The sequence below is a fragment of the Homo sapiens genome, chromosome 12 (genome assembly GCF_000001405.40).
Source record: "Homo sapiens chromosome 12, GRCh38.p14 Primary Assembly".
In the NCBI taxonomy this organism is placed as follows: domain Eukaryota; kingdom Metazoa; phylum Chordata; class Mammalia; order Primates; family Hominidae; genus Homo; species Homo sapiens.
Window position 1 is genome coordinate 10,789,578 of NC_000012.12, and position 15,491 is coordinate 10,805,068.

The 15,491-nt window shown below is 36.3% G+C and overlaps 1 protein-coding gene across 1 annotated transcript; it reads right to left on the minus strand.

Moving 5' to 3' along the window:
* Positions 1 to 11,954: 11,954 nt before the first annotated feature.
* On the minus strand, positions 11,955 to 13,050 carry TAS2R7 (taste 2 receptor member 7). The gene has a single exon (NM_023919.2). It carries the CDS (start codon positions 12,991 to 12,993, stop codon positions 12,037 to 12,039), a length of 957 nt encoding a protein of 318 aa, NP_076408.1. The 5' UTR covers positions 12,994 to 13,050; the 3' UTR covers positions 11,955 to 12,036.
* Positions 13,051 to 15,491: the final 2,441 nt, after the last annotated feature.

The following is a 15,491-nucleotide window of genomic DNA, read 5'->3' on the forward strand; positions in this document are numbered from 1 at the left end:
TGTTAAAATGTAATATACCTCTAGAAAAATGTACAAATTATAACTATGCAGATTTACAGATATTTATACAGCAAACACATCTATGTAATGCAGTCCAGCTCACTAAGTCATACACGAATATTTTACATTATATTATAACACTCCAAAGGAATCCCTTGTACTGTTTCTCAGATACTACTCTCCACTGCCTGTACACATATCTTTCATGTTGATTAGTTTTACTGTTTCAAACTTTATGTAAAGTGTAACAATATAATATTTACTCTTCCCAGTTCAGTTTCTTTCACTCAGCATTTTCTATGAGTATGGTAGGAGTAGTGTTATTTTCATTGCTATATAATATTCCATTCCATGACTATACTACAATTTACTCATCTATTTTCCTGCTGACAGGCATATGAGTTATTTCTAATTTGGGCTATTTCAAATCATACTGTTAATAATCATACACATTTTTTAGTGCACATATCTTACATTACTGTTGTGTCTATTTCTGGAACAAAAATTGCTAGGTCATAGAATATGGGCATGTTTGGCTTTAGTACCTACTGCCAAATCTTTTTCCAAGTTGTTTGTATTAATTGATACTTTTCACCAAATACGTCACCCCTGCTGATTTCACATTTAGAAAATGGCATCTCCTAGCTTTAGTGTACAATTCCTTAACTTTATGTGTCATATATTATTGTTTTTTATGTTTATTAGGCAAGCCTGAATTTTATTTCCTTGTGAATAACTGTACCCACCTCTCTCTACTACCTGGATACTTCTATAAAATAAAATACAGTCATGCATTGTTTAATGATGGCAATACACCTGAAAAATGTGTTGTTAGGTGATTTTATCATTGTGTGAACATGATTTAGTGTACTCACAAAAACCTAGGTGGCATAGCCTACTACACACCTAGGCTATATGGTGCAGCCTATTGCTCCTAGACTACAAACTTGTACAGCATGTCACTGCACTGAAAACTGTAGGCACTTGTAACAGAGTTGTATTTGTGCATACTAAGCATAGAAAAGGTATAGTAAAAATATAGTATAAAAGATTAAAAAACAATACACCTATATAGAGAACTGTATTAGTGTGCTCTCACATTGCTAATAAAGACATACCTGAGACTGGGTAATTTATAAAGAAAAAGAGATTCAATAGACTCACAGTTTCACATGGCTAGGGAGGCCTCACAATCAAGGTGGAAGGTAAAGGAGGAGCAGAGACGTCTCTTACATGACGGCAGGCAAGAGAAGTGCCGAGCAAAAGGGGGAAAAGCTTCATATAAAACTATCGGATCTTGTGAGAACTCGCTCATTATCACGAGAGCAGCATAAGGGTAACTGCCCCAGTGATTCAATTACCTCCACCTGAGCCTGCCCTTAACACATGGGGATTATTACAATTCGAAGTAAGATGTGGGTGGGGACACAGCCAAACCATATCATCCCGCCCCCTCCCAAATCTCATGTCCTCACATTTCAAAACCAATCATACCTTCCCAGCAGTCCCCCAAAGTCTTAAGTCATTTCAGCATTCACTCAAAAGTCAACAGTTTAAAGTCTCATCTGAGACAAGGCAAGTCTCTTCCACCTAGGAACCTGTAAAATTAAAAGCAATTTAGTTACTTTCCAGATACAGTGGCAGTACAGGCATTGGGTAAATACACCCATTCCAAATGGGAGAAATTGCCCACAGCATGGGGCTACAGGCCCCATGCAGGTCCAAAATCCAATGGGGCAGTCAAATCTTAAAGCTCCAAAATGATCTCTTTTGATTCCATGTCTCACATCTAGGTTATGCTGATGCAAAAGGTGGGCTGCCACAGCCCTGGGCAGCTCCGCCTCTGTGGGTTTGCAAGGTACAACCTCCCTCTTGACTGCTTTCACAGGCTGGTGTTGAGTGTCTGCAGTTTTTCCAGGTACATGGTGCAAGTTGTTGGTGGATCTACCATTTTGGGGTGTAGAGGATGGTGACCCTCTTCTCACAGCTCCACTAGGCAGTGCCCAAGTGGGGACTCTGTGTGAGGTCTCCAACCCCACATTTCCCTTCCACACTGCCTTAGCAGAAGTTCTCCATGAGGGCCCAGCCCCTGCAGCACACCTCTGCCTGGACATCCACGCATTTCCACACATTCTCTGAAATCTAGGTGGAGGTTCCCAAACCTCAATTATTGACTTCTGTGCACCTGCAGACTCAACACCACATGGAAGCTGCCAAAACTTGGGGCTTGTACCCCCTGAAGCCATGACCTGAGCTGTACCTTGGCCCCTTTTAGCCATGGCTGGAGCAGCTGGGATGCAGGGCACTAAGTCCCTAGGCTGCACACAACAGGGCGGCCCTGGGGCCAGCCCCTGAAACCATTTTTTTCCTCCTAGGCCTCTGGGCCTGAGATGGGAGGGGCTGCTGCAAAGGTCTCTGACATGCCCCGAAGACGTTTTCCCCATTGTCTTGGTGATTAACATTGGGCTTCTCATTACTTACGCAAATTTCTGTAGCAGGCTTGAATTTCTTCCCAGAAAATGGGTTTTTCTTTTTTACTGCATTGTCAGGCTACAAATTTCCCAAACTTTTATTTTCTGCTTCCTCTTGAACCATTTTGCCACTTAAAAATTTCTTCTTCCAGATACCCTTAATCATCTCTCTCAAAGTTCCACAGAACTCTATTGCAGAGGCAAAATGCCACCAGTCTCTTCGCATAGCAAGAGTGACCTTTACTTCAGTTCCCAAAAGTTCCTCATCTTCATCTGAGACCACCTCAACCCGGACCTTATTGTTCATATCGCTATCAGCATTTTGGTCAAAGCCATTCAACCAGTCTCTAGGAAGTTCCAAACTCTCCCACATCTTTTTGTCTTCTGAGTACTCCAAACCTCTAGGAAGTTCCAAACTTTGTCACATTTTCCTGTCTTCTTCTGAGCCCTCCAAACTGTTCCAACCTCTGCCTGTTACCCATTTCCAAAGTTGCTTCCACATTTTCGGTATCTTTACAGCAGTGCCCCACGACCTGGTACCAATTTATTATATTAGTCTGTTCTCACGTTGCTAATAGACATGCCTGTGACTGGGTAATTTATAAGGAAAAAGAAGTTTAATGGACTCACAGTTTCAGGTGGCTGAAGAGGCCTCACAGTTATGATGGAAGGTGAAGGAAGAACAAAGGCACATCTTACATGGTGGCGGGCAAGAGAAGTGTTGAGCAAAAGGGGGCAAAGTCCTTTATAAAACCATCAGATCTCGTGCGAACTCACTCACTATTACAAGAACAACATGAAGGTAACCACCCCCACGATTCAATTACCTCTACCTGGACCTGCCCTTGACACATGGGGATTATTACAATTCAAGGTGAGATTTGGGTGGGGACACGGCCTTTCCATGAATGGAGAACTTACCATCAAGAACTTACCATGAATGAAGCTTGCAGGACTGGAAGTTGCTCTGGGTGAGTCAATGTGTGAGTGGTGAGTGAATGTGAAGGCCTAGGATATTACCGTACATTACAGTAGACTTTATAGACACTGTATGCTTAGGTTACATTAAGCTTATTTAAAAAATTATCTTTTCTCAGTAATCAATCGACCTTAGCCTACTATGAATTTTTTTATTGATCATTTTTTAAACTTTTTGACTCTTTTGTAGTAACACTTAGGCTAAAACACAAACACATTGTACAGCTGTCCAAAAATATTTTCTTTCTTGATATCCTTACTCTATAAGTTTTTCTTTTATAAAAATTTTTATTGTTTAATTTTTTTTATTTTTTAAACTTTTTTGTTAAGAACTAAGACACAAGCACACGCATTAGCCTAGGTCTACACAGTGTCAGGGTCACAAATATCACTGTCTTCCACCTCCACATCTTGTCCCACTGCAAGGTCTTTGGGGGCAATTACAAGCATGGAACTGCCATCTCCTAGGATAACTGCGCTCTTCTGGAATACCTCTTGAAAGACCTGCCTGAGGTCTTTTTACAATGAATTTCTTTTTTTTAAATAAGCAGAAGTTACACTTAACTTTCTTTTTATAAGTAGAAGTATACTTTAAGATACTGATAAGAAGTATAGTAAATACATAGAAGTATAGTAAATACATATACCAGTAACAGTTGTTTGTTATTATCAAATATTATGTGTTATAAAAAACTGTGTGCACTATAGTTTTATACAACTGATAATGCAGTAGGCTTGCTTCCACCAGCATCATCACAAACAGGTGAGTGATGCATTGTCCTATGATGTTAGGATGGCTGCAATGTCACTAGGCAACAGGAATTTTCTGTTTCATTATAATCTTATGGGACCACTGTTGTGTATGCAATCTGTCATTTACAAAAATGTCATTATGTGGCACATGACAATAATTATATTTGTAGTTTTAAATTTTTCATGAGATGTAACTAGTTTGGACTTTTATTTTTATTGATTTGCTCTTTCAGTCTTCATGTGACTTTCTCAGCTAGGAAAATTTTTTTCTACTAATCTTTCATTTTTGCTTCTGTGCCAAATTGTCTGTATGTTGGCTGCCCATTCTCTGTTCCTTTCTGTTATTGCATTACAATTTTTATGCTATGTTCTTTCCCACTGCATTCTAGAAACATATTTATTATAATAATAACTAGCATTAATTTTGAGCATTTACTAAATGACCTTTTCATATTTTGATGCTGTCTTCATGAGAACCCAAAAAGTGAGCTCTATTACCATTTCTAATTTATACACGAGGAAACTGAGGCCAGATTAGACTGAGTAATTTTCCCAGGTTTATGTGACTAGGAAGTGACACAGTCACGATTTTAACCCAAGCAGGCTGGCTTTGAATTGTTGACTTGTAATCAACATTCCACTGCATACTGTCTGTCCTACATATTTACATAGTCCACAACACATGCTATTTGATTTTCTGGTGAATATTTTTTGCCTCTTTCTGCCTCTACTGTGGATTTCAGTTGTGCTTTTCTAGTTGTACTTTCCATAAAAGCTTTCTTGTTTGATCCAATTCTACTTTTATATCATAATGTTCTCTTCTGCAGACTTTGTGCTACTCATTCACAATGCCTGCTATTCATTCTTAATCTTAATTAACTTCTTCTTCTGTTGATGTCACTAAGTACTTTCTGATAGCATCCCCACCCTGGGCTCCTTGATTTTTTCTGTATCTTAAACTTTGGTTTTCTCAGGGGAGTCTTTAACTGTCTTCTTCCTTTCTTGTCTAACTTACACACTGGGGTTTATTTCATTCACTGCTACGGCTTTAAGCACCTATACATTTGTGACTCAAAAGTAAATATTTCACCCCAAGCCGAATCCTGAGCTACACAGCAGTATATTTATTCCTGTAATGTTGGTTGAACACCTATTTTCCAGGTGCATGTGAGACACTAGAAAATTCCACATGACTGTTATCCAGCAACCTTAAGCTTTTCTCCAAATCTGCTTTTTTATTCTTTTGATTACCCATCTTGGTGAATTCTAATGTTGCTAGTTGTATAAACCAAAATATAAAATTAATCCCAGAAAACTCTATTTACTTGCCTTTTCATTCTGTCATCTTTATTCTACTTCTGGAATATCTCATTTAGTATTTCTCTTCATTTGAATTATCACTGTGTATTTCTTGGGGGAATTGCAGTAGTCTACTTTGTTCTCAACAGTCATAAAAGTCATCTTTCAAATGTGGCGCTCTAATGAGCTTACTCTTTGTGTGATATATGTTAATTATCTCCCATTCCATAAAGTATAATTAATACCACCACCTTTGCATGGCACACACAACTTTTGTCATCTGGTTTTATCATTTGGTCCCTGCCTACATATCCAGTCTTTTCTCCTTTCACTTCAAATCTTTTCTAACTTAAGACACTGTAATTCAGAAATACTGAACTATATTCAAGGTCTCAAATATGATATGTCCTTTCACTCTTTTTGTTCCTTTACACATTTCCTGAAATACACTCATCATTCAGCTATCTACCTGATGTTTAACTGTTAATTTATTACTTCTTTGGAAATGCCATGTTCTTTATGAAATTTTCTCTGATTTCCACAGGCAGACGTGAATGCTCCATTTACTGCTGATGATTTGAATTTGTATGTACTGGCCTAATGGCACTAATCCCATTCAGGAGGACTCCACCTTTGTGATCTAATCACTTACCAAAGGTTTCACCTCCTAGTACCATCATATTGGGGTAGTATTTTAACATAAGAATTTTGAAAGGACAGCAACAGTGAGCCATGAACACAATGCTGCACTTCAGTCGCCAGCCTCCTGGGCAACAGAGTGAGACCTTGTCTCAATAAATAAATAAATAAATAAATAAAATAAAAAATAGTGACTAGTCCTATAAAATAAGGAGTCATGAAAATAAGGAGTTGTGCTTCCCAGTCTTCTTGTTTTCTTAACCTCTAGTCATCTAAGCAGCACACATAAAGTTTTGCATTCCATCCCAACAAGGAGTCTACTGCAAGAATGATTCCTGTAGATGTGACAGTTGAAATGATGAAAATGATTGATATCTATAAGGTCAAAGTTAGAAACTTGAAGGGTCAGCTGGAAATTGCATTCATTTTGTTGCATTTCTAACTACTGGCAACTTAACCAATTATTTTTGTCTAAGCAACAAGATGTCCCAAGCCAGGGCTGGTATGGAAGTTTAGTTATGCTATCAGGAATTAGGGATCTTTCTATCTTCATTTCTACCATACAAAACGTGTTGATATTCACCATCATCTTGTGGTCCCATATTGCAAGATGGCCGTTAAGATTTAAGATAGTGTGTCTGCATTTCAGACAGTGAGAAACAAAAATAAAAATGGTAAATGGTCAAATATTATGCCACAGGTATCTGCTCTTCCTCCACTCCCCACCCGAATGTAAAGTGGCTCTCAGGAGCACCATCCAGTAGACTTCAACCAACATCTAGCTTTCTGGAATTACACCACATTGTCACCCCCAGCAGCAAAAGAATCTGAAAATAAATATTTATAAACAGGAAATGTTGCCACCCTGATCAGTATTGGGTTTCTGCAAAGAAAATGGTAAAAATTAATACGGGGTAAGTAGACAGTGGTACCTGCCCCATCTTGTAGGTAATAATTTAAAAATGAATATTCAGTAAAGCAGACACAAAAAAGATGTAAAAATAATCAAGAGATTTCAGTGTTACAGAAGTCAGAAGAAAAAAAACTGTAAGAGGGAAGAAATATATAGTAATATACAAAATTTTAAAGAGGTTAAGGACAAAAAGTCTAAGAAAATATTACTAAGTTTGATGATCAGAGACAAGCTGCGACCTCCAGGGAGAGTAATTTCAGGACACTCTTTTAAAAGTGAGCAATTGTTTTAGTAAGAGCAATGGGTAACTCAATAGGTTAGGAAAGTTAGAAAGTTTATGGAAGACTTTTTTTTAGGCTAACGGAAACTTGAGAATTTTTTGGCTATAGGTAGCAGAATTAGTGAAGATTGAAGATGTAAAGAAGGGAACACAAAATTGTAAAAACAAAATACGAAATTTTCATCCAGAGGAAAAAGAATCCTTTCTTTCATTACCTATATTTTAAAGAGATAGTTGGACACAGTGATTCTATTCCAATGAGTCTCAACTTATTTTTTTTTTAACATGCTAGTTATAGATCACTTAGTGCCTGAGCACATTCAGGGATAAGAAACTAATTATCCCCAGATAACTCAATCAATCGTTTCAAGTTTTAATAACTCTAAGAAATTTATTTTAATATTATTCTAAAGTAATTAAAATTATTTAAGATAAAAATAAATTTAAAATTCAAAATTATTTAAGATAAATAATTATACAAATTATTTTATACTATCAACAAATTATCCTCCTTTTAAAATCAATTGCTCTTTTTGTATCTTCCAGAACTACACAAACAGGATTACTGTTTGTTCTATGTAACTAGGTAGAACTATCATGCTTACTCACATTCTTCTCTTTCCAAGCTGAACACTCTTAATTCACTCAGTGATTCTTGAATGATATTGTTTTCCAACCCACTGATTATTCTGATTATGTTTAGTGTTAAGATTGCACAGTCCATTCAAATCATGAACTCAAGCACATTCTGAATAGCTATAGTTTTCTGAGTCTGAAGTTGATTTTAGTCTCTTACTGGCAATTGCTTTCATTTATCCAAGCCATGTTACATAACTTATGCTAATCTTTCTCAAGGCCTTATTGTTCTTTCATCTTGTGATTACATTTCTGTCATTTTAGCCTTTGATTTCCTGATGATTCTGTTGGCTCATTCTATAGGAAAGGGACCAGAAGTAATTGATGTTTGGACAGCTTGAACCATGTTGAATATGGTAACAGAAAAGAGAACCATAGTTCTGAGTGGAATGTTAATTAATGAAAGACAATTATTAATACGTATAAGTAATAGTTGAGGAGGATGAACAATTGTTTTCAGGAACCTTACTAAATTTATGGTTTTCCTCTGAGGAGCTTGACCAGCCCTTTAAACCAACTCAGCAAGTCTGAATGATGTGCAAAGGGACAATTAGATATGGGTAAGAAGTCCCCAACCTCAACCCATAAAGGACTGTGTCTGAGGTTCTTACAGCATCAAGGGAGATGGATACCATGGCTTCCATCAAGGTGCTGCTAGTCCTGCTCTCAAAGGCTTTGGTGACCCTGAGCTCTGCTCAGAGCATAGATGATGGCAAGAGGAGGAAATGGGGACAATACAATGGATAACGGGGTTAAAATGCATGGAAAGTACTAGAGTTAGATTGACCCTTTCAGAAATTAAGCACTTTATTTTCAGAGAGTAGGTCAATAAAAGAGGAGGAAACCTTAATTTCTATTTTTCACTGATTGCAGATACTTCTCTGAAAATCTCGGCCTAAGTCTTAAGTCAACGTCTTCATGATGTAATTTTGCCGTTCTAATGTATATGGATTTTCAGTTGTTGATTCTGTTTGTGTGAATCAGGGCATCTAAATTGAACGGAAAATCTATATTTTTCATTTCTATAATCTATAATAGAATTCTATAATTCTATAATTCATCTAGATATCGCATTTCCTTGACATCAAACTCTTGAACATTTAAAAATATTGATAATTTTGATTAAATTTGTACTTAATCAAAATTTTGATGCTAAGCAGGCACTATTAAATTCTTTCTATTCCATTCCTTAATCCTTTAAAATACAGGTCACCCCTCATTCAGAGTCAATGATTGGGACTAGGGTTCTACTTTGGGAAACTTTGGTTTATTGTATCCAAATCTTTATAATTTTTTTTCCCTAAAGCTCTCTTAGGCATTTTTAAATCTCTTGTGTCTAAACCTAAGTGTCTTTCTAGAAATTCACAGCTGGGGTTTTATCAAATCATGTTTTAAATTTGTCTTCTTTTTCATTTTTTTTTTTCTCTTAAAATCCTAAGTACTGTTGCTGAAGAGTTCTTTCAAGAGTAAGGTAAACCTTTATTCAGGGATGTGTTCTTTTCTTTGTTCTTCAGAAGCTACCATAGTTTTCTTTTTTGTTTAATAAACATTCTCAAAATTCTCAAACATTCTCAAAATTGAGTTTAGGGAGTCCCAAAGGGAAAAAGAGAATTACAAAATCTGAAAGTTTTAGTGGTTCTCAATAATAACATTGATTGATTGAGACAAGCCTCCTCTGTCACCCAGATTGGAGTGCAGTGGCATGAACACAGCTCACTGCAGCCTCCACCTCCTGGGCTCAAGCTATCCTCCTACCTCACCCTCCTAAGTAGCTGGGACTATAGGCACACACCATCACACCCAGCTAATTTTAAAATTTTTTATAGAGATGGAGTCTCACCATGTTGCCCAGGCTTGTCTTGAACTCCTGGGCTGAAGATATCCTCCCACCTCGTCCTCCTGAAGTACTGGGACTACAGGCATGAGCCACCATACTTGGCCCAATAATGTTAAATATGGACCATCTCCTTCATTTTCACATTAGAATCTCTTGTGTCAGAGTTGTAATTAGCATTTGAACATCAGCAGAATATAGACACAGTACTTATTTGTAAATGCTTTTCTCTAAATCTTTCTACAACCAATGGCTAATGATTGAATAACACAAATCTCCCATTTTTGCAAGAGCAATAACTCCCTTGACATATAACTAATTTGAAGCATAAAGATACATAAAATTTGCCTACATTATTGTAGTCAATCAGTGAATGTATCATTGCACTTTCTTTTGCCACTCTGAATTAAAACACAAATGCTTCATTCTTTAGTTTTCAAGTCCTGATAACTGCTTAAACACTAATTTGTCACAGAGTAAGTGAAATTTAAAGCCACCATTAGTCACACACAGTTTACATGAAAAATTTGAAGTCCATTCTAATGGCCTGGGGAGAGACTCTGTGTAGGAGGAAGGATATAATACATGCCCAGAGTACATGAGAGAGCTAATGAATTATGCCACCAAAGAAGTGGCAGAATTGAGTAAGTGAGTCAACCAACAATTTTGTTGTTCAAAGAAAACTTTTATGCTTAATGATTTTTTTCCCCTGTTTCTGACTTGTCAATGACCCTTCTACTGAGTTTATGATGTCATTTCAAACTTCATTCTTTTTCTCTTCTTTCTTTGAAGGAGGCTTTCAAGAGGAAGATGAAAAGACCTAACTACCATGTGAGCTATTTTGAGTTCAATTAAGTTATTAAGAATTGTTCTAAATGGATTCAACGAACCTCTGGGTTACTGTTCTAATAAAACATTTCTACAAGTTTTTACTGTAATACAAATAATCATGTTTAACCATGAAAACTTTTTTTCTCTCTTTATTTACAAATATTTTCTTTTTTGTACACAAAGTTCCTGGCTACTCTAGGCTGGTTAGTACAGGGTTGATCACCCTAAAATATCTTTGCCACAATATGAATGATGTGCTTTTGATGGTATGTCCCAGATACATATTTCCTTTTGTGGCCTGACATATGGCATTGTCTGGAGAATATTCAATATATGCTTGAAAAGAGAATGTGTTGTCTCTTCCTTTTATGGAATCTTTCATAAATATCAGATCAGGTTGCTTGATAGTGTTTGTTAATGTATTCTATATTCTTACAGATGTTCTGTTGTTCAACAAATTACTGAAATAGAATCATTGAACCCTTTAAAAAAAGATGTCTTATATACAATCCAAACAATATTTCTCTGGGATGTAGAGATGATCTACATTGAGGCAATATATCCTTTGAGAGTTTTGACATTTTAGCATAACCATGTATTAGCTTTTGATTGAATGTCTTGTCACAGCATCTTGATAATCATTGCCTGGTGCAGTCCGTGGACATACGTCTTTTGTGGAGAAATTTTCTTCAATAAATAATTAATAGTTCAATTTAGGCTTCTTATTTTATAGACATTTTCTACATAATTTTTCTCACTTTTACTTATAGATTGTCCTTCATTCATTGATCTGCAATTCTCAAATAATCTTTGAACTTACTGTGACAATATATTTAGCCATAATATATACCTTTTCTGTGATTATAAGATTATTCATAGAATTCCACAGCATTTATTAAGAACTGTCACTTTATTGAGTCTTTCCCAAAAGTAGAGCTTTGTTGGATGATCCAAGAGGAACCATCTAACGCGGACTATGAGAAGGAACTAGTTGCTTTTCATAAAGATGCAAATAACAGCAAGATGCTGTTACAGTTGTTTTGAATTAGTCACACAACTTTGCATCTGGAAACACGGTTTAGAACTATGAAAATGCCCTCTACTCTTGATAGTTGATATTAGGATATTAATTTCTATTTGCTCTGAAACATGTTTTAAAAAACAGCAACTCTAAAGAAAGGAAGAGTTACAGAAGAGAGAAACAGGGATACACAGACAGAGTCAGAAACAGAGACAGAGATAAAGAGATCCAGCCAGCTGTACATAAGATTCCCTACATTACAATTACAGATACACTAATTAAGTTTTAGGAGTAATTAATCACATAAAACATTAATGCAAGAACTGAAGTTAATTTAGAAACATCTTATCTTTGTTTGTCCTAGAAAAGCATAGTTTCTCTTCAGATTTGTTTATGTTGTTGGAATTTTCTTCCTTTTAGAATAGACATTACTTTCCAAATCACCTTTAGAGATGCATGTCTTAATTTATTGTTCCCCAGTATTAGGATAAATGAATGACTTGAGGGGTAGATTAGAGCTATGGACTCACCAAAAATCACAGCTAATTCCGTCTCTGGCATAAAGTAGCTGGAGGTGGCAATGAGAAAGGACAAATAGTAGGCAATAAAGAGGAGAAGGAAGGAAATGACAGCTTTCAGGGCTCTCACATGGGCTTCTGTGCTGGGGTCTCTGCACCCTGTGGCACTGAGCTGCATTCGCCTGATATGTCTCCGCAGGGAGAGGATCAAGAGGAAAAAGGACATTAGGCACACACAAAAGGGGAGCAGCGTTGCCAGGTTGAGAAATAACTTGGTAGAAGCATGTTGAGTTTTATTTACTCTGCAACTCCAAGTTAAGTTTGTTTTCCTCTTTGCCTTCACACAAAACCTGAAATCAGCGTTCAAATTCTCAGTGGCTGGAAGGCTAATAAACACAGAGAGAACCACGCACCCCAGTAGAATCCAGGAAATCACCCTGTCAATTCTCCACTTCATCCAGAGGAAAAGTGGGTGAAAGAAATTACCTATCTTGAAGAAATAGTAAATGCTGAGGCAGGTTGCAAACCAGATACTTAAATGATTGGTTAGTGTCCAGAAGAAGTCAATGATTCTCATTTCTTTACCAGTGGCATAGACATCTGGATATAGCACCAATATAAAACAATCTAATAGTATTACGCACAATAGACAAATTCTGGATATGGCCAGACTTGTGAGGATTAAATCAATGGAGGCAATTTTCCTCTTCTTGACCCAGTCCATGCAGTTTACCAATCCAATGAATGCATTCCCTAAGATCCCCACTGAAAACTCTCCAACTGCTAAGAACAATAAAGTAGTCTGCACTTTATCTGCCATGTTTAAATATGCAATTAGTTTCTAGTTGACCTGATGGAGTTTGACATCCACACCTGCTTCTTAGATTTTGATGTAGTTTTCTTTACCTCTTTGTTGTAGTCTGTTTTGTGATGGAGACTGGAATGATAAATGAAGACTGGAGCTATCTTCATTAAATCCTAATTAGTCTTGACAAACAATGTGTTTGGCGATCCTTGGCCTGGCCACTGTATGCCCATTTACCTACTCAGCAGGTTGTAATTTTCCACATACGGTTAATTTAGGCTGAGCTACTGTTTACTAAGATGCAAATTGGGCCAATTCCCTTTCATGGTCCTGCATTGTCTTTCTGAGGCTAAGGTGTACGCATTTTGGATTCATTAATTTGTGATGTATGCTAGTAACCTCAATAGGGTTGCTAGATTTAGCGACTAAAAATTCAGGACACTCAGTTAAACTTGAATTACAGGTAAAAAAATCAATAATTTTTTAGTGTATGTCCCTGATTACTTAAGATCAGTGCTTTCAGGAAGTACTGAAGTTCAAATTAGATTGAGTGTTCCATTCTGGCAACCTGAACATCAAGAATTTGGTAGCAAGTATAAAACTGGTAAAATTGGAAAGTTCTTGAAGAATTTTTATTTTGCTGAATGTTAATATTGATAATTAGTAAAGAATCCAAAGTTTGGTTCCATAGTGAGAGTTATATATTTTCAGGAACTTTAAAAAGTTAACACTAAATGTAGGTTATTTGATTCCAAAGAAACTTTAGGTCATTATTTTGGCTGTTCAGATGAACAATTACATGGCATAGTGTCTCTTAATACAACACATTGTCTTACTGACTAAATGACTTTTAATGGTTATTTAGCAATGTTATATATAATAAGGTAGAGGACCTGTAATAAAAAAAGACTATTGATTACCTTAAATTTTTCATTTTCACTTAAAATGTTCTCAAGGAAACTTTGAGAGGTATTAGATATGTCCATTACCTTGTTTGTGGTGAAGATATCATGGGTGTTTGAAATTTTATACATTAAATATATGCGGTTCTTTTTATACCAATTATACTTTCATAAAGATTTCAAAAATTTAAAAAATGTTCTCAAGGGTAGTTGTATGCATGAGAGAGGAGATAGTAAAATTCTGTATTTCATTCTCTCCACTGTCCTCCATACAAATTGCATGAGTATCTAGATCCTCAACCCTTCTAGCAGGAGACTGAAGATTAAACTTTCCACATCTCTAGAGATGAATTTTTAGTTTGAAATAGCTTCTCTAATTTAGAGTTACTGAGAAGCGCTTTACTACATGGGGTTCCATAGAATAGTTCTTGGGTATTCACACCTTCCTGGGAATGCATGTCTTCTCTTATCCTTCCTTAAAGGACAAACCATCATTCCGGAGATGTAGCCTTAACTTTTGGACAATCTGTATGATTATGTAGCCATGTTCACAGGCAACTGGAACATCACCTATGATAGGACGATCTTGGATATGATCCCTGACCTAGACTTATCATTTCTTTTGTTTTTTTTTTGAGATGGAATTTCGTTCTTGTTGCTCAGGCTGGAGTGCTATTTTGGCTCACCGCAACCTCCATCTCCCAGGTTCAAGTGATTCTCCTGCCTGAGCCTGCCAAGTAGCTGGGATTACAGGCAGGTGCAACCATGCCTGGCTAATTTTGTATTTTTAGTAGATTCCGGGTTTCTCCATGTTGGTCAGGCTGGTCTTGAACTCCCGACCTCAGGCGATCCGTGTGCCTTGGCCTCCCAAAGTTCTGGGATTACAGGTGTGAGCCACTGTGCCTGGCCTAGACTCATCATTTTTACCCTACAGTTTATCCTGGTAAATGAAGTGCTCATGGGAACTATGATGATGTATTTTCTCAAATAATTTTTAGACTTGTTTTTGTTTAGTTTTGGAAATAAATGTAGATTTTATGAATACCAATGTTGTATAGCGTGAAGTTATGTGAATATATAGTTAAAAAAAAAGTTCTATGAGAGAGCATTTTGTCAAAAGCTTACTACTTTGAACCCCAGTCACTGTGGTCACTAGAGATGCTTGAAACATTAGAGAGGCAGGAAACAAAATATGGAAGAAAAAAACTTAACCCTAATGGGGTAAAACCTTCCCAAAAGTACTAATTCAATAAAACGTTTATTTCACTTAAACCTTAGGAAAAATATAAAGTTCATCCTAGTATAAAATCTACCTGTATTTTGTAGAATACATTAATATATTTCATCAAGAGAACATGAATTCTTGTGTCTTGTAAAACAAAGAGTAACATATACAGCTAGCATATTAGAAATATAGTTCATAAAATTTATATACTTGGGGCTATAAATATTAGTACTTTACAGAGTGAGTTTTACATAATAATAAGACAAACAACTGATAATTTTCCGGTAATTAGTATTTTAGTTATAATAAAAGGAAATTAGTAGATTGAAATACATCAGAATTAAACAGAAAGTAATGGGAGTAAAAGCAATAATGTACAGCCATAT